Source organism: Homo sapiens, chromosome 2 (assembly GCF_000001405.40).
Source record: "Homo sapiens chromosome 2, GRCh38.p14 Primary Assembly".
NCBI lineage: Eukaryota > Metazoa > Chordata > Mammalia > Primates > Hominidae > Homo > Homo sapiens.
Genome location: NC_000002.12, coordinates 177,175,885 through 177,194,888, shown reverse-complemented (window position 1 = coordinate 177,194,888; position 19,004 = coordinate 177,175,885). Strand labels below are relative to the sequence as shown.

The 19,004-nt window shown below is 40.6% G+C and overlaps 1 pseudogene, besides 1 other annotated feature; it reads right to left on the bottom strand.

Moving 5' to 3' along the window:
• Positions 6,664-7,863: an enhancer, noted in NCBI's record as "BRD4-independent group 4 enhancer chr2:178051754-178052953 (GRCh37/hg19 assembly coordinates)". NCBI's record gives its function as "activates an origin of replication core promoter dependent on BRD2, P300/CBP, MED14 and CDK7 cofactors, and independent of BRD4, by STARR-seq in HCT116 cells {active_cell/tissue: HCT116}" and the evidence as "EXISTENCE:reporter gene assay evidence [ECO:0000049][PMID:35650434]".
• Positions 16,431-17,192, bottom strand: STUB1P1 (STUB1 pseudogene 1; annotated as a pseudogene).

Genomic DNA, 19,004 nt, shown 5'->3' with positions numbered 1-19,004 from the left:
ATACTGTCAGCCTTCATGAGAAATAAGCCTGTACACTGAAGTTGTCAGGGACCAAGAAATCTGTATTCTCCCTTTTTTTGTCTTTCTGGGGCCAACTGGTGTCTCCTTTTCCTTTCTCTTAGCACATTTACTCCATTTTCCTCTTTCATTTAGTTGGCAGATTGAGGCACTGTTTTTAAAATGGCAAACAGACTGCAAGTCTTTGTGACCCTTTAGCATAACTACCTTCAGGCTTTAGGTATCTGTTTAAAATCTTGAGAAAGAGGGACAGCGGGAGAAGGAGACTGGGAGAGTGGAGGAAGATGGAGAGAATATGATTTCATGTGGGAAAGCCAGTAACGGACTTTGTTTTACTTCAAGTATCTATCTTTGATTCAGTCAACCTTGGTTGTAGGGCTGTTAAAGATCAATCTTGTTCATCAACAACAAAGAAATGAAAGATAAAAAACAATCATTATATTTTTACACTCCCTGATATTTTCTCTTAGAAGGTTAGCTGGATTTTATGATATTCAGTTGGCAAGAGCTTAAAATAAACAATTTGGCGGAGCAATATTGCAATGTGGATGGAGTTGAGAAATAGACTATCACTTTCTCATACTATGTGCCTGTTTCTATGTGTATCTTTTTCTTTATTTTCACTAATCAAATATAAGCACTGAATTTCTAATTATAGTCCTAGATCTGCTAGAGAGGCATTTGATAAACCAAAACTTTTGAAAATATTTAGAACTTTCAAAAGGATCAAAACCTCATTAGTGGTGATGAGAGTGTTTTAAAGCTCATAGGGGCTTTATAGCTTCATTTAGTTCAATTCCATAATTTTACAGATAAATGAAGAACAGACAAGGGAAGTAAGTGATGCAAGGCCACACAGCTCACTGGAGATGGAGCTGGACTCCACTTTCTGTCATTATGTTTCTTAATTCACTGTCATTATGCTTCTAATTAAAAAATACTACTTAGCAAACAATTCACATTAACAGAAGGGATAATTAAAATCTAGTAAAGTTATTAAAGGTTTTTCTCTCTTGATATGTGATCATTTTAACAAATTAGTACTAGATTGAGATGTAACCTTGAGTGTGTTGCTTATTCTCTAGGGATCTCCAGTTCTTTTGATTTACTATAATTCCCTTTACAATAATGAAGTTCCATGCCTGATTGGATTATCAGAAAGGATTCTACCCCTCAGGCGTTTCAATTAGTTCATTGTTGCTGTGATTATATTTTTCTCCTCTCTATGTATTATTTATGAAATTTTATTATAATAGAATTTAAAATATTAGACCTCGAGGAAACCTTAGGAATTACATAGTCCAGAACTCCCTCATTAACTTATACCATATTTTATTTTATTCTTCTAATTATTGATAAACTACGGAGGTGGCAAAAAGAATCTGGGACGATGAATATGAAGCACTTTCTGGATGACTACTTTTGACCTCTGAAGAGAAAATGAAACTCAAATGAGGCCTCATCTTTGTCAATGAAGGCTTATTTACTTACACCATAATTATTTCTTGACTGTTTTTACAGAATAGATTTTTGTTTTAACTTGCATTAACCGAATCATAATATTCACAGATATAAAATAAGAAAGTGGCCATGTTTATGTTTTTATTGCATGAAATAAAACCAAGTTCTAGGTCATTCTCCTATATTGATAATTAGTAGAGCATAAAATATACATAGACATTAAATATGTCATTGATGTTAAGGTTTTTCTACAAGAGACTTTCTCTTGTAGAAAATCTCATAAAAGATCTTAAGTTTTATGATACATTTTGAACATTATCTATAATATATTCATTAAATATTTACAGTGCTCTCATGAACAAAGCACCATCTCAGATATAAGGAATAGGTGTTCTGAAGTCCTCAAGCCTAAAGTTCTCTGTCAAACATTTCGGTTTTGTTTATGTTTTAGTGATGACACACCTTTAAGAACTGGACAGAAACTAGGCTACTTTTACTTGCCAAGAACATCACATTCTAGCCAATACATTTTTTTACATGATAGTGTGAGCCAAGTCCCAGGTGTCATTAAAGTATCCCTTAATGTGTGGAGCAAAGATTGTTTCTAAAAATTGTTCAAAGAGCCAAATTCCTAAATAGTAAAAGATTTTAAAAGTATATATAAAAGTAGATATCTAAAATTTAAAAAATTTCTTCTCATTCCTTTAAAAACCTATTTCTATTTCTCAGGTAAGAACAGCGCAGCCTTCTTCCCATTCCTGGCTCTCTATCAATTTCAGTATTAGATTCTGTGCTATTTCCTGTACTGTGAGTTTGAATTTCTAAGCAACAAAGATGAACAAGGTAGGAACAGTGTGTCTTCCCATTTTCATCTATATGTAAAAGGTAGGAAGTGAGACCGCACGCAGTGGCTCATGCCTGTAATCCCAGCACTTTGGGAGGCCGAGGTAGGTGGATCACCTGAGGTCAGGAGTTTGAGACCAGCCTGGCCAACATGGCGAAACCGCGAATCTACTAAAAATACAAAAAATTAGCTGGGCGTGGTGGCAGGCTCCTGTAATCCCAGCTACTCAGAAGGCTGAGGCAGGAGAAATGCTTGAACCTGGGAGGCAGAGGTTGCAGTGAGCCAAGATCGTGCCATTGCACTCCAGACTGGGTGACAAGAGTGAAACTCTGTCACAAAATAAATAAATAAATAAATAAATAAATAAATAAAGTAATCCCAGCACTTTGGGAGGCCGAGGCAGGTGGATCACGAGGTCAGGAGTTCAAGACTAGCCTGGCCAACATGGTGAAACCCTGTCTCTACTGAAAATACAAAAATTAGGCCGGGCGCGGTGGCTCACGCCTGTAATCCCAGCACTTTGGGAGGTCGAAGCGGGTGGATCACGAGGTCAGGAAATCGAGACCATCCTGGCTAACATGGTGAAACCCCGTCTCTACTAAAAAATAGAAAAAAATTGGCCAGGCATGGTGGCAGGCGCCTGTAGTCCCAACTACTTGGGAGACTGAGGCAGGAGAATGGCGTGAACCCGGGAAGCGGAGCTTGCAGTGAGCCAAGATGATGCCACTGCACTCCAGCCTGGGCTACAGAGCGAGACTCTGTCTCAAAAAAAAAAAAAAAAAAAAGAAGGTAAGAGGTGGTGTGGAAACTTAGATTAGATTAAGAGCCCACTAGCTGCCAAAAGTGTTTACATACATTGTTTCAATTAATTACTTTATAGACCACAGGTAGGCTTATTAACTCCACTAAGAGACCAGGACACTCTGGGTAAGAGAAGTTAAGTAATTTGCCTAAGATCATATGGCTAATAAAAGACTGGAAGAGAATGCTGGGTCTGGCCAGAGACAGAGATTGTGGGAGATAAACATCTCACTCTGTAAGCAACTAACCTGTGGTGTTTTTATTTATTTATTACTGATACATATTAATTATTCATATTTATGAGGTACAATGTGATGTTTTGATCCATGTATATCTTGTATAATGATCAAATCAGGGTACTTAAGATATTTTTCACCTTAAACATTTACCATTTTTTTGTGATGAGAACATTCAAAAACCTGTCTTCTAGCTATCCTCAAACATACATTATTGTTAATGCTAGTCTCCCTACTATGCAATAGAATACCAGAACTTATTCCTCATATCTAACTGAAGCTTTGTACTTGTTGACCAATCTCTTCCCCTTCTGGCCTTGTCCGTCTTCTTCTTTCTCTTCTTCTTTTTTTATAGAGAGATGGGGTCTTACTATGTTGCCCAGGCTGGAGTACAGTGATGTGATCATAGCTCACTGCAGCCTTGAACTCCTGGGCTCAGGGATCCTCCTACCTCATCCTCAGCTGGGACTATAGGTGCCTGCCACCACACCTGGCCTCCTTTTATTTTCTATTTAATTTTTAGTAAAATTCTCCAAATGGAGTTGCCACTGCTTAAGATGGCAATGCTGGGCACCTGTAGAAGAGCTGCTTTCTCTTCTGGTGACCTTGAATAAGTCTTATAGATTTATTATTGTGCCCTTTTCCTGTTTGGTTCTTTCAATTAATGGACAATTCTTTTAAGACTCAGAACTGAAAGTCAGGCGCCATGGCTCATGCCTGTAATCACACCAGTTTGGGAGGCTGAGGTGGGTGGATTGCCTAAGCTCAGGAGTTTGAGACCAGCCTGGGCAACATGGCGAAATCCTGTCTCTACTAAAAATACAAAAAATTAGCTGGGCGTGGTGGTGAGTGCCTGTAATCCCAGTTACTCAGGAGGCTGAGGCATGAGAATTACTTGAACCCAGGAAGCAGAGGTTGCAGTGAGCAGAGATCATGCCACTGCACTCCAGCCTGGGCAACAGGGCAAGACTATGTCTCACAAAAAAAAAAAAAAAAAATTGGCTGGGTGCGGTGGCTCACACCTGTAATCCCAGCACTTTGGGAGGCCGAGACAGGTGGATCACGAGGTCGGGAGATTGAGACCATCCTGGCTAACATGGTGAAACCCTGCCTCTACTAAAAATACAAAAAATTAGCCGGGCATGGTGGCGGGCGCCTGTAGTCCCAACTACTCGGGAGGCTGAGGCAGGAGAATGGCATGAACCCGGGAGGCAGAGCTTGCAGTGAGCCGAGATCATGCCACTGCACTCCAGCCTGGGCGACAGAGCAAGACTCCGTCTCAAAAAAAAAAAAAAGACTCAGAACTGGCTTTCAGCAAAGATTTTTTTTCTTTCCAAATTGGTGTGAAATAGGCTGGGCACGGTGGTTCACGCCTGTGATCCCAGCACTTTGGGAGGCCGAGGCAGGCAGATCCCCTGAGGTCAGGAGTTCGAGACCAGCCTGACCAACAGGGAGAAATCCCGTCTCTACTAAAAATACAAAATTAGCCGGGCATGGTGGCGCATGCCTATAATCCCAGTTACTCAGGAGGCTGAGGCAGGAGAATCACGTGAACCCAGGAGGCAGAGGTTGCGGTGAGCCAAGATCACACCATTGCACTCCAGCCTGGGCAAGAAGAGTGAAACTCCGTCTCAAAAAAAAAAAAAAAAAAAGGTGTGAAATTTAGATATTAATTGTGTTTTGTTCATCTAATTAGATGTGTGAGTTAAGGAGTATAAAATAAGCCACTAGCTACTTTCTCACAAGATACAATAAATCTATCAGACTGAAGAGCAAAACAGCATCAGTTGTAATCAAAATAATATATGATATCATGTCATGATGTCAGAAGAATACATTACGTTATTTCCAAGGGCTCTCCTCAGAAATTAGATTGGGAGATTGGCTAAATCCTCAGATCCTACCTGTCCCTCCACAAGAAAAGCTAAGCAGGTATCTTGCAATACACAATTTAAGGTGAAGCCATAATGATTACCTAGTTATCTCTCACTGTACAATTCGTAACATCTTTTTTTTTTTTTTGAGACAGAGTCCCACTCTGTCACCCAGGCTGGAGTACAGTGGTGCAATCTCGGCTCACTGCCACCTCCACCTCCCAAGTTCAAGCAGTTCTCTGCCTCAGCCTCCCAAGTAGCTGGGATCACAGGCGCCCACCACCACGCCTGGCTAATTTTTGTATTTTTGTTAGTGACAGGGTTTCACCATCTTGGCCAGGCTGGTCTCGAACTCCTGACCTCATGATCTACCCGCCTCAGCCTCCCAAAGTGCTGGAATTATAGGCATGAGTCACAGTGCTTGGCCAATTTCTAACATCTTTACACCATTCGATTTTATCTTTTCTCTGCTCAAAATAAGCACTGCAGTATAAGCTATTGAATGTCAATAATCAATTCCTTGGCAAGATTACCTGATAGAATAACAAAAATTGCTCTACAACAAACAAAACCTTTGATCTCTCATAAGAGATATATGCAGCCACTCACTTCCAAACATCAGTATGTCATCAGTAATCAACAAGCAATATTGACAATGTCCCTAGAAACTCATGGAAAGGCCTCTAGGCCTAAACAGAGTATAGTCAGTCCATTGCCCTCAACTGCCTACAGCAAGATATGCAATTCTGTGATTTTTATTAGGATAATCCCCTTGTAGACATTGTTGTGGCTTTTTGGGACTCCCGAATTCTTTGCCCAGTGTGGAACATGCATCAGAACCTTCAGTATCCCTTTCCAATATCTGTCCTCCCTAAGGTGCACCCCTCCCATTATGTGCACACCCCTTAGATGGATGTGCAGGAGTGTCCTCACAAATATTTGAGAGGCCCCTTCTGGTGTGTGGGTGAGCAGGAGGTCAAAAGAGAAGGTGGAGCCAGCCTGTAGGCAGTGGCTTCCTTTTGTACTTATGCCCCAGGTCCTGTAAATATTACCTGTTTCCCTGGATGGAACTGGAGTGGGCCCCACAAGGGGCTAGGCCTAGAATAGAAAGTTGTCACTGCATAGAGAAACTGAAATGTGTTGTTCTTTTTTAGGGTTCATGTAAGGATCAATTTGCCACTAGCCTACTTCCTTGTGGAAGCTGCATATTTGAATCTTCTGGTAAATTTATATGATTGCCATAGAATAAATTTTTATTTAAACCATAGGTTATTTATATATCGTGTCTTACATAGAATTTAGAAAATCTATTTCCAACTGTTACCCTTATATGAGATAGATGGACAGACTGAATGTCTCTCTATCTCAGACATACTATAATCTAATTCCATTTTAGGGAGCAAAGATTCTTGTTATACGCACACAGAATGAAAGTTGGGGTGTTCCATTTGATTACTATAATTAACGTATCACACTGCTTTTGAGAATTCAAGGAAAGCACTCTCCTCAGAGAAAATGAGAGATGGCCTTTCTGTTCTCCAAACTTTATGACAGGCATATATTTATCAGAGACATCGTCTACATTTCCTGAGATTCCCTCTGCCCTCACAGGACTAGCTGCTGTCTCAGCCATGCGCTCAGCTATCTGACCACTTTGGGACCTGCATGGTTTTGCTGTGAGGGGCTGACCAGTTGCTTATCCAGGATGTTGGCCCTTCTTGGCTGCTGCCATGCCAGTCAGGCATTTCGAGTTTCTGTCTCCTTTCATCACTTGAGACTTGGATGAAACACCACACTAGAGAGCATGGTATCTGGCTTCCCAAATGACTGCTGAGGGATCCGGATGATGCAATGCAGAAAGCTGGGTGTTAACCACACTCGGGATGAACTTTGGCCTGTAGAAATAGGAGATGCTGGGAGTGTGACAGATCAATTACCCCACTTCCTCCTCGTTGCCTGACTGCCTTCTCCTTAACAGTTTTTTCATGTAGCCTACCCATGCATTGCTTCCCATCCTTTCCTGCCACATCTCCCTTTTTCTCACTCTCACATTCCCAGGCTTACCCCTAAACAAATAAAGCAGTAGCACCCAATCTCCCTCAGAATTTGTTTTCTAGTAAACTGGGCAAAAAGGCTCACTATATGAATTGAGAAAGATAAAATTCTGAGACTGTAAGGTACAAACTCAAGTAGCCTTAGGAATAACTGATAAAGACCTATTTTTAAATCAGTATCTTCAAGTGGCATGTATAATAATAATTGTTTCAATATTATTTTGGAGGCACTATAGTGCTTGGATATAAATTTCATTTCTTTTCCCTTTGACTCCTAAGACTCTCCCGTATATCATAATTAATCAAGTATAGGTGCAGCAATATGCAAAGCCTTGAAAACACTAAAAGGGGTTATGACATTTTCTCTGTCCCCTGTCCTCATAATATAGTTATTAGAGGGAGACCACATATAAGTAATGACTTGCATGGTTTACATTAAAGTGCTGTGCTGCAGAGAAATGGGGAAATAAATGAAGGTCTCAAGTATCTAGGAAGACTTCATGATGGAGATGAAACTTTCAAAGGGAGTTTTAAAGGATGAATAATACCTGAATTGGTAGAGGGGAAACAGAAAGGTGCTCCTGGTGAGTTTCAAGTCCAAGTGAAGATGTGGAAATGAAATTGCGTATGGTACTTGTGATGGACTCACTATTTCTGGATTCTTCGTAACGGCATCCCACAGGGCTGCAGATCCTCTAAATCTCATTTATAGAACCTAGGTTAATCTATATGATATAAAGAAGATTCATAATCTGATCACTTTCTTTTTCTTTCTTTTTTTTTTTTTTCAGACAGAGTCTTACTCTGTCACCCAGGCTGCAGTGCCGTGGCACAATCTCAGCTCATTGCAACCTCAGCCTCCTGGTTTCAAGTGATTCTCCTGCCTCAGCCTCCCAAGTAGCTGAGATTACAGGCACATGCCACCAGGCCCCACTAATTTTTTGTATTTTTAGTAGAGATGGGGTTTCACCATGTTGGTCAGGCTGATTTCAAACACCTGACCTCAGGTGATCCACCTGCCTAGGCTTCCCAAAGTGCTGGGATTACAGGCATGAGCCACGGCTCCCAGCCACAATCTGATCATTTTCTTAAAACAGCAACAATGTTCCAGTATATAATCTGTGAAGTTTTGTTGGTCTGTGATTTGGTTTGGCTGTGTCCCCACCCAAATCTCATCTTGAATTCCCACTTGTGGGAGAGACCCTGTGCGAGGTAATTGAATCATGGGGGCAGGTTTTTCCCCTGCTGTTCTCATGATAGTGAATAAGTCTCACGAGATCTGATGGTTTTAAAAAGGGAAGCTTCCCTGCACAAGCTCTCTTATCTGCTGCCATGTGAGACATGCCTTTCACCTCTCGTCATGATTGTGAGGCCTCCCCAGCCACGTGGAACTGTAAGTCCATTAAACCTCTTTCTTTTGTAAATTGCCCAATCTCGGGTATGTCCTTATTAGCAGCGTGAAAACAGACTAATACAGTTTGGGAGTAAAATTAGAGAATTTAATTTTGGCTGGGCATGATGGCTCACACCTGTAATCCCAGCACTTTGGGAGGTCGAGGTGGGCAGAATGCGTGAGTTTAGGAGTTTGAGACAAGCCTGGGCAACATGGCGAAGCCCTGTCTCCACAAAAAATACAAAAATTAGCTGGTTTTGTTCCTGCATGCTTGTAGTCCCAGTCACTCAGGATGCTTGAGGCAGGGAGGTTGAGGCTGCAGTGAGCCGAGATTGTTTAACTGCACTCTAGTCTGAATGACAAAGCGAGACCCTGTCTCAAAAAACTTTTTTAAAATTTTATTTGAGGACAGCTTATTTGAGAACTCCCAATTCAGCATAAAAAGCTTTACTTGGCCAGGTGCAGTGACTCATGCCTGTAATCCCAGCGCTTTGGGAACCTGAGGCAGGCGGATCATGAGGTCAGGAGATCGAGACCATCCTGGCTAACACGGTGAAATTCCATTTCTACTAAAAACACAAAAAATTGGCCGGGCGTGATGGCGGGCAACTGTAGTCTCAGCTACTCAGGAGGCTGAGGCAGGAGAATGGCGTGAACCCGGGAGGTGGAGCTTGCAGTGAGCCGAGATGGCGCCACTGCACTCCAGCCTGGGCGACAGAGTGAGACTCTGTCTCAAAAAAAAAAAAAAAAGTTTTACTTGAATTTAAATCATTGATTTCAGTACAATTGTGAAACTTAAAAGAGCAATTTATGAAGGGAAGGAAAATAGAACACTTAAAAAAAATTCCTAAAGATTCCATGAAAAACTCTTATTGTTAAGGGGGTAGATTGTGTTCCCAGACTATCAGCTACAAATTTCTCCTCTCTTTTCCTGAATGCAACTAAAATTTCAAAAAGTCAGTACATGAGGTATGTACTGGATGGAAGAATTTGCCTCAGTATACTCCGAGAAAAAAAGCTGGGAAGGGAGTGGACAGGAGAAGGAATATAGGTGATAGGTAATAGAGGTTCATTAGTCTCTTTCTTTTGTACATACTTGAATTTTTTATAATATAAAATTCTTATAAACTCCTACATTGTTTCTGTAGATGACAACTGATAAATCAGGTCTAAAGTTTCTGGTTTTAGCTGGGTGCAGTGGCACATGACTGTAATCCTAGTACTTTGGGAAGTTGAGGAAGGCAGATGACTTGAGTCCAGGAATTCAAGACCATCCTGGGCAATAAGGCAATACCCCATCTCTACAAAAAATACAAGAAATTAGCTCCACATGGTGGCAAGTGCCTGTAGTCCCAGATACTCCACAGGCTGAGATGGGAGGATCACTTGAGTCCAGGAGGTCAAGGCCACACTTTGCTGACATCGTGCCACTGCATTCCCACCTGGACAAGAGAGAGAGACCCTGTCTCAAAAAAATAAATAAATAAATAAATAAATAAATCTGTTTTCATCAAGAAGTTTATAAATATACATTAATAATTTCATTTTGGTTATACATGCCCCATTATTGGGGGTGGGGAGTGGGATAGGGATAGATTTGGCAGGAGGACTGGTGGGGGCAGAGTCGTTAGATGTAGGGAAAAATAAGAAACAGAAGCTTTCAGAGAAAGAGTTTACAGGAGTCAACCACTGATTGCATAAAGAGAGGTAAGAGTTGAAGTTTCTGCAAGTGAGTGGATAATGGCGCCATTACAGATGAGGATGTAGGAATAAGAAGATGTCCTTCCTTTAAATGGGTTTGTGTGCAGTCTTCCCATGGACAGCCTCAGAAAGACTCAGGGACCCCTGGCTAACATCACGTTGCTGAGGAAACATTGTTAACTTTTTCAGATTAAGAAACATTTCATTTACATATAATCACAAAAACAAAAATTAAAACTACTAAATCTTGATCACATTGGTATCTGGCAACAGGGTACTTTACAACCAGTTATTATCATTTCCTCCCAACTCAGTCATAATTGCTGTCCTTGTTGTGGATTGAGTAATTTGACCAATGCTAGCTGCTAAACACAGGCAAAGTCCAAGTTAAAACTCTGCATGTTTTTTCCTTATCCCATTTACTTTATCTGTCAAAAAATCTCCACAGCTGTTACAAAATAATAACATATCCATGAAAGCAGCATATTCTTGCACATAGTGTTTCTCAGCTAAGCTCCATGTGACAGAGATCAGCTGTCCCTACCCCTCCCATGTACCTTCATGGAGTTTTTCCAGTAACAGAATGTCCATCTCTGCTTATTTCCCTTCAGTTCACTAGTCCATCATCTTGCAGGTTAAATGAAGGAATTTCAGTAGATTATTTTTATGTATCTATATATGTATGGTGGCTTCCTCTCCATTCTCAGCACAAATTGCCAGCACTAACCATGCACCTTTTCTGCCTTCCTTACAGAGAAAGATTTTTGTGAATATTTGCTTTGTTATTACTAGGTAAAATAGAAAATTTTACTTTTCTGGTTGATTTGGCTGTTTTTAGTCTTTACTGGGTTTTTTATAAGTTACTTTACTGCTGCCCTAAAGAGGTCATTCCTAAAATAAAGATAGTTCTTTTGTTTTCCCCACTTTGGCAGTTGTTTAGCCTTAGGTCCTTCTCCTGACACCTCTGGTTAAGGGCCCAATTAAAGCTAAGGAAGTTTAGATTCTTTTGAGGTTGTGGACAATTCTGGCTTTGAGATCTTATCTGATTGGCCACATGAAAGAAGATAATGAGAGAGAGATGCCTGGGAACCTGAATTAGGCTCCTGATTGATCTAGTGTCATGGGAAAGAGAGAGAGGAGCATCATCTTAACCACACAGTGAATCTGCTTGACAGCAAACTGGGCCTAATTCAATGTCTCTGGCTTAGACCAATCATCAACACTTTTCTTTGGGGGTTAGGTTGGGCACAGGCAAGAAATGAAATTAGGAGAAAGAAGCAGAGACCCTCAACTCACCTACACCTAAGGAAACAGAATGCGAGATGGTTTTGGTGAGGGTGGAAGCCTCTAGGTGACAGTATCAGGGATAAAGTTGGAATGACAAACCTGGGTAGGGCAATTCCTGAACATCAAGAAGAAGCTTGGGGAAAGGGAGCTCTGGTGGAAACGGGTGCTAAAGGGAAAAAAGGGGGTACCAAAGACAAGTGTTCCTAGGATCTTACCTAGGGCAGGTCCTAAAACAATCATTAGCTTTGGCATAAATAATACATGCCAATGTAAGATATGCATTACTCCACTGACATTTTGAGTTTCTATAAAATTTAATTATAAAATAATCAGGAAGCAAAACAGAACAAATCAAGTTACATTTTATTCTATTTGATGCCTTAACTTTTTCTTTTTAGTGAGCCAGGATACTGGGACGTTTGAGGATAAACTTTTAAAGGAGAAATGTAAATGATCTGTGGGATAAAAGAGCAATTTTGTATATGATCTACTATAAGGTATGGATCAATCAAACAAGTATTTATTGAGTTCCTTCTCTGAGTTAACAAGGTGGGTATATGGATCAGACTTCACAGCAATTCTTGCCTCAATAATAATTCTGAGCGAATGATCAAATTTTTTTTGGAAATGCTCACAAATCATCTGTTTAACTAATTGTGCTGTTGACCTTTGCCCAGAATTTGTATAAAAATCATAGATCTTTAGCATTGATTACCCTTAAATTTTTTTCTCTTCACACTCTCCTGGTTTTAATCTATCTTTCTAAAGATCTGATTTTCTTTTTTTCTTTTTTTTTTTGAGACAGAGTCTCTTGTGCTTGTCATCCAGGCTGGAGTGCAGTGTTGTCATCTCAGCTCACTGCAAGCTCCAACTCTCGGGTTCATGCCATTCTCCTGCCTCAGCCTCCCAAGTAGCTGGGACTACAGGTGCCTGCCACCACACCCGGCTAATTTTTTGTGTTTTTTAGTAGAGATGGGGTTTCGCTGTGTTAGCCAGGATGGTCTCGATCTCCTGACCTTGTGATCCGACTGCCTCAGCCTCCCAAAGTGCTGGTATTACAGGCGTGAGCCACCACACCCAGCCTCTAAAGATCTGATTTTCAAGCAATTGACGATTTCTTCTCTTTTCTGACTTGGAAATTTTCTGATTTCCTTATTTAAATTCAGGAAAATTAGATTTATTACAAAACATATAATTTTGGAAGTAGAATAATATCTTTTGACAAGTTAAGACTTTAATTTTGAACTTGGCTAACCTATGAATCAATAACAATATCATCCTAATAAATACATGATTCTCCATCCTTTAAAACAACTTAGTGTTATATTTTAAGTCCTTTGCACAGCTTCATAGATATGTAAGTTGTTTGTTCCATAGCCTATATTTTGAGAACTGTCTCTCCCTTGCTCTGAGTGATTATGGTTGGCCAGTCATGGTACCCTACTCTTTTGGAAACAGAGATTGATCTAAGAATGAGCTTGTGACCATGGACAGGGCCAACCATGTTTTCGGCAGCTGATACAGATGTTCAAAGAGGGACCCTATAAGAGCTCTGTGAACTGCAGGGGCCACATTTCCCATCATACGCAGAAAACCTGCCTGAGAATAAAGCTAATAAGGAAAGCATGCAGGAAGGGAAGCTAGAGAGAGAGAGCGAGTGAGATAGAGAGAGAGAGAGAAAGTATTCCTGAGGACATCATTTGAGCATCTGGAAAGAGCTATGCTGAAGCCAGCTTGGAAACTGGAATTTTATTTTATTATTATTTTTTTGAAACAGGGTCTCACTCCATTACCCAGGCTGGAGTGCAGTAGCGCAATCTGGGCTCACTGCCATCTCTGCCTTCCTGGCTCAAGTGATCTTCCCACCTCAGCCTCCAGAGTAGCTGGGACTATAGGTGTGTGCCACCACACCTAGCTAATTTTTGTATTTTTTGTAGAGATGGGGTTTCGCCATGTTGCCCAGCCTAGTCTTGAACTCCTGGACTCAAGCAATCTGCCCGCCTTAGCCTCCCAAAGTGCTAGGATTATGGGCCTGAGTCACTGCACATGGCCAGAAACTGGAATTTTATATGTATCTAGTTTTGTGAGCAAAAAACATTTTCCTTATTTGCCTAAAATAAGCGGAGTGGGGTTTCTGTCATTTGCAACCAAGAGTCCTGACAATATACACAGGACTACACAGTCTTAATAATCATCATGATTTTAAAATATTTGATTTTCTATGCAAAGACCTTATTTACAGCAAGAGTAATAAATTTGGCCAAAACTGTAAAAAGGGATTCATACTAGAATTTGTGAAATGCTCACCCATTGATTTTCCATAACATATCCCCTTCCATGTATTCTAACTAAACATTTACTAACCGATTACTCACCTTGTGTCAGTCAGTAGTGCTAAGTGCTGCACATACAACATTGAGTAAAACACATTTGGGTCCCTGCCTTTGTGGAACTTAGGATCTCACTGACTTTATTCTCCCGAATTGTACAATATAGCATTGGTGTTTTAGCATTCTTTTATGTTCTATTTTGAGTCATAAATGGAAATGCTTTTTCAAGCCTCAGGTCATATTAATATACTAACACTCTTTTTAAAGGCCTTTCATGATCCTGAGATCATTTATAGTAATGTAGGCGTTAACCAAACAGCATAAGTCAAATAACTAGAAGCCTTTGAAATTGATGAATGTTATAAATATTTATGACACTATATATATAACCTGTTGACTTTTTTCGCTTTCGAAATATACATGCCTTAAGTTCTGCTTTTATTGGTGTCTCCTAGACAACAAATCATTTCTCACATATTAAGTACAACAGTAATAAAACTGGTACACAGAGAAATGCCACAGGTACAGTGTATCTGGAGAGTGGGAATAAGTACAGTGAACTTTATTCAAAGAAGAAAATTTTCCCAAGGTTTTTGCATTCACCCTTAGAACAATGTATAATCATTTGAAAATGTTTTGACAAACAAGCAATGGGGAAAGGATTCCCTATTTAATAAATGGTGCTGGGAAAACTGGCTAGCCGTATATAGAAAGCTGAAACTGGATCCCTTCCTTACACCTTATACAAAAATCAATTCAAGATGGATTAAAGACTTAAACGTTAGACCTAAAACCATAAAAACCCTAGAAGAAAACCTAGGCATTACCATTCAGGACATAGGCATGGGCAAGGACTTCATGTCTAAAACACCAAAAGCAATGGCAACCAAAGCCAAAATTGACAAATGGGATCTAATTAAACTAAAGAGCTTCTGCTGTCTTGCTCTGTCACTCAGGCTGGAGTGCAGTGGCATGATCATGGCTCACTGCACCCTGGACATCTCTGGCTCAATCAATCCTTCCACTTCAGCTTCCTGAGTAGCTGGGGCTACAGATGCACCCCACCATGCCTGGCTAACTTTTATATTTTTTGTAGCAGTCTCACTGTGTTGTCCAGGCTGGTTGTGAACTCCTGGGTTCAAGCAATTTTCCTGCCTCAGCCTCCCAAAGTGTTGGGAGAGATTACAGGTGCCTGGTCTCAGTAAATTTCTCTTGTTAGGAAGGCTACCAATCGAGGACTGGTTCGGGTGAGTTTACAGAGGCTGCACAACTTGAGTGTCTTTATGTCCTGACAAGACCTTTTGATGCATAGGTCCTAATTGTAATACATTTAAATGTTAAGTCTCCACCCCAAGGTAAACATGGGTCATCTGTAACATGCATATTTGTTCAGTAGGCATGCATCAGGACTATCTTCATGAATATTCATAGCTCATCCTACAACCGATTGAATATGTGTGTTCGGCCACTCAATAAACTTAAATTCCTGTCTTACCTCTCACTCCCTCTGAATGTTTGTCTCTGGTCTTTGCTGGAGGCTGTGCTTCCCAGCCTGCAGGATGGCCACTTTGCAGGCTGTCACTCTTTACAAAAAATAAAGCCTCCTTTCTAAATTTATATATCTTGTGATTTTTTTAAAGTTAACATTGTTCTGTAATTATTCTTTTCATTCTTCTTGGGTCATGTTTACACATATCTACTGGATCGTGGTTGTGTGTGTGTGTGTGTGTGTGTGTGTGTGTAATGAGACAAAACATCAATTTTGAGGATAGTTCTGGAGAAAGTGCTACCTTTACCTGCCTTAGGTTACTTTGTGTTTCCACCAAAACAGGAATCAAAATGGGGGATCCATGACTCAAACTGCCCCAGGCTTTTTCACCAGCCTGTAAGGGAAGAGAATATTGAGATCAGTTTGCCACCTGGGAGGGAGCTTTCTAACAGAAATGCAAATAAAGTTAAGGGCTTTACTAAGTGGACTTCATCCCACCCCCAACACTAGGTGAGGAATTAGGTAAAGGTCTCCATCATACCTTAAGTCTTCCCTGAGAATGCCTTTACCTTTAAACACCCTCAAAAAAGGAGCAATTTAAAGGAGATATATATATATATATATATATATATATATCCTTTATATATATATATCCTTTATATATATTATATATATCCTTTATATATATATTATATATATATCCTTTATATATATTATATATATATATCCTTTATATATATTATATATATCCTTTATATATATATTATATATATATCCTTTATATATATATTATATATATCCTTTATATATATAATATATATTTTATATATATTATATATTATATATAATATATATAATATATATATTTATATATATGTTTGAATGCTCACGGATTTTATTAGACAGTGGTGGCAGTGGCCCCAGCCCAGCCCACCCTCACCTGCTTTTCCAGCCCAGAACAGGGGACGGGGAGGATCACGGCCTAGCAAGAGCTATGCAGAGAGGGGAACAGTCCTGAGCCCAACAGCAGAACTTGGGGGGAAGCGGGCGGGGTGGCCAGGGACACAAACTGTGTACAGGGGCTGGGGGCTTCTGCCCAGGGCCCTCCTGGACCAGGACGCCCGACAGGGCTGGGTGCCTCAGTAGTCCTCAACCCAGCCGTTCTCAGAGATGAATGCGTCAATGACCTCCTTCATGGCCAGGTTGGGGATGAACTGTTTCTGGGTTAGGGGGCTCCAGGTCACAGGGTCAAAATGATCCACGCGCTGCAGGTGCTCCTCGATGTCCTTGCGGTCATAGGAGATGCCAGTGGGCGTGATGCATAGCTCCCGCATCAGCTCAAAACTGATCTTACAGCACAGGTATTTGGGGATGTCGTACTTCTTCCTCTTCTCGTCCACCTGAGAGAAGAGCTCATCCATGTCCGCCATGTATTTGTCATGTGGGCGGGGGGCACCCTCACGTGCTTGGCCTCATTGCAGGCCTGCTGGGCCCGGACCTGGCTGTCGTCTTCATCACCCTTATGGTTCCGTTGGCACTCTTCGAGCTCCCTCTCACGCTCTGCCGCAATGAGCCTCGAGAGGTAGGAGTGCAGCTCGCTCTCCTGGTGGATGCGCCCTTCCTCGATGCTGTTTCAGCGCTGCTTCGCGATTCGAAGAGCGCTGGGAATGTCGTCCCCAAAGTTCAGCCAATGCTTGTAGGCCAAATATTTTTTTATCATTAAACTAAATATATATACACACATATATATACATATATATACATATATATATACATATATACATATATACACATATATACATATATACATATATATACACATATATACATATATATGTATATATACGTATATATACATATATACGTATATATATACACGTATATATATATGTGTGTGTGTGTGTGTATATATATATATATATATGTATGTATTTTTTTTTTAAGACGGAGTCTCTGTCACCAGGCTGGAGTGCAGTGGCGCTATTTCGGTTCACTGCAACCTCTGCCTCCCGGGTTCAAGCGATTCTCCTGCCTCAGCCTCCCAAGTAGCTGGGACTACAGGCTCGAGCCACCACGCTCAGCTAATTTTTGTATTTTTAGTAAAGATGGGGTTTCACCATGTTGGCCAGGATGGTCTTGATCTCTTGACCTCGTGATCCACTTGCCTTGGCTTCCCAAAGTGCTGGGATTACAGGCATGAGCCACTGCATTGGGCCACGTATTTTCTATAAAGACTACTTCAGAACTAGCAGGCCTTTGATCCAACATGGCCCTGCTCCCAAATCCACTCCCTGCCCAATACACATATGGACTTTTTGTAAAAATTCACATATTCTAACTACAAGAAAAATTGTGATTATGATTTAGAAAGTCCATGGAGCTTTAGTTCACTATCACTGACTTTCATCCTTTTTACAGGATTTCTGTATTTCAGTGTAGAGCCACAAGGGAGCATGAACTTTCCTATCAGAAGGATCTAGATTTAAATCTCTGCCACTTATTTACTCTGACTACAGCTAATTTTTTTAACTTTTCAGTGCCTACTTTTCTTCATCTTAAAATAGGTGCAGGGTTATTATAGCAACATTGCAATTACCTGTGAAGTTTTTGGTACATGATGAGTAATCAGTAATAGATAGTGTTTAAAATTAAAGTCAATGTATTTTTTTTTAAACCTGAGGTTTTGTTTTGTTTTGAGGCAGGGTCTCACTCTGTCCACCTAGGCTGCAGTGCAGTGGCGAAATCTTGGCTTATTGCATCCTTCACCTCCTGGGTTCAAGCGATTCTTGTGCCTCTGTCTCCCAAGTAGCTGGAACTGCAGGTGTGCACCACCACACCTGGCTAAAACTTGAGGGCTTTTATTTATTTTGCGTTCTCCAGTAATAATTTGTGACCATGAAGTTCTTGCACTTAACTGTAAATTCCAGGAATTCCTATCATCTAGCCTAAGGCCTGGAAGAGGGAGGTGACCAGTAAGTATTTGCCAAATCAATGTATATGTTGGTTGTTGTACATTGTGCTCAGAATCTGTCGTGTGAACAAATGCCTTTGCTATATATGAAAGAATCTCAGAGCACAATATACTGATGGATGAGGTAAATTGTAAGAATACAATTTCATGTTACTCACTAGGAAACATTAACTTGTTCTTCCCAGTTTTGGTCTGTATGCTGCTTCTTTGGGTTATGTGATAGGATGCTTCTTAAGCTCATGAGCTTCGTGGTTTTGCACCCAGACTACGTTACTTACCAGCTGTATATGCTTGGTTTCTCAGTTTTTTCTTCTGTAAAAGGGGATGCTAATAACCTCCATGGCACAGAGCTGTTGCTGGTGGTTAAACAAGCGAACACATGAAAGTGTTTAGAATCATACCTGGCACATGGTGTGAATGTTAGCTCTTCCAGCCTGTCCCCTTAGTCTCCCCTGCTGGTTACTGTGGCATTCTTCTATTCCCAGGTTTAGGATGAATTGGCTCTTTTGGCTCTTTTGTTCCTGGTTAAGTGGGCTTTTGCCTGA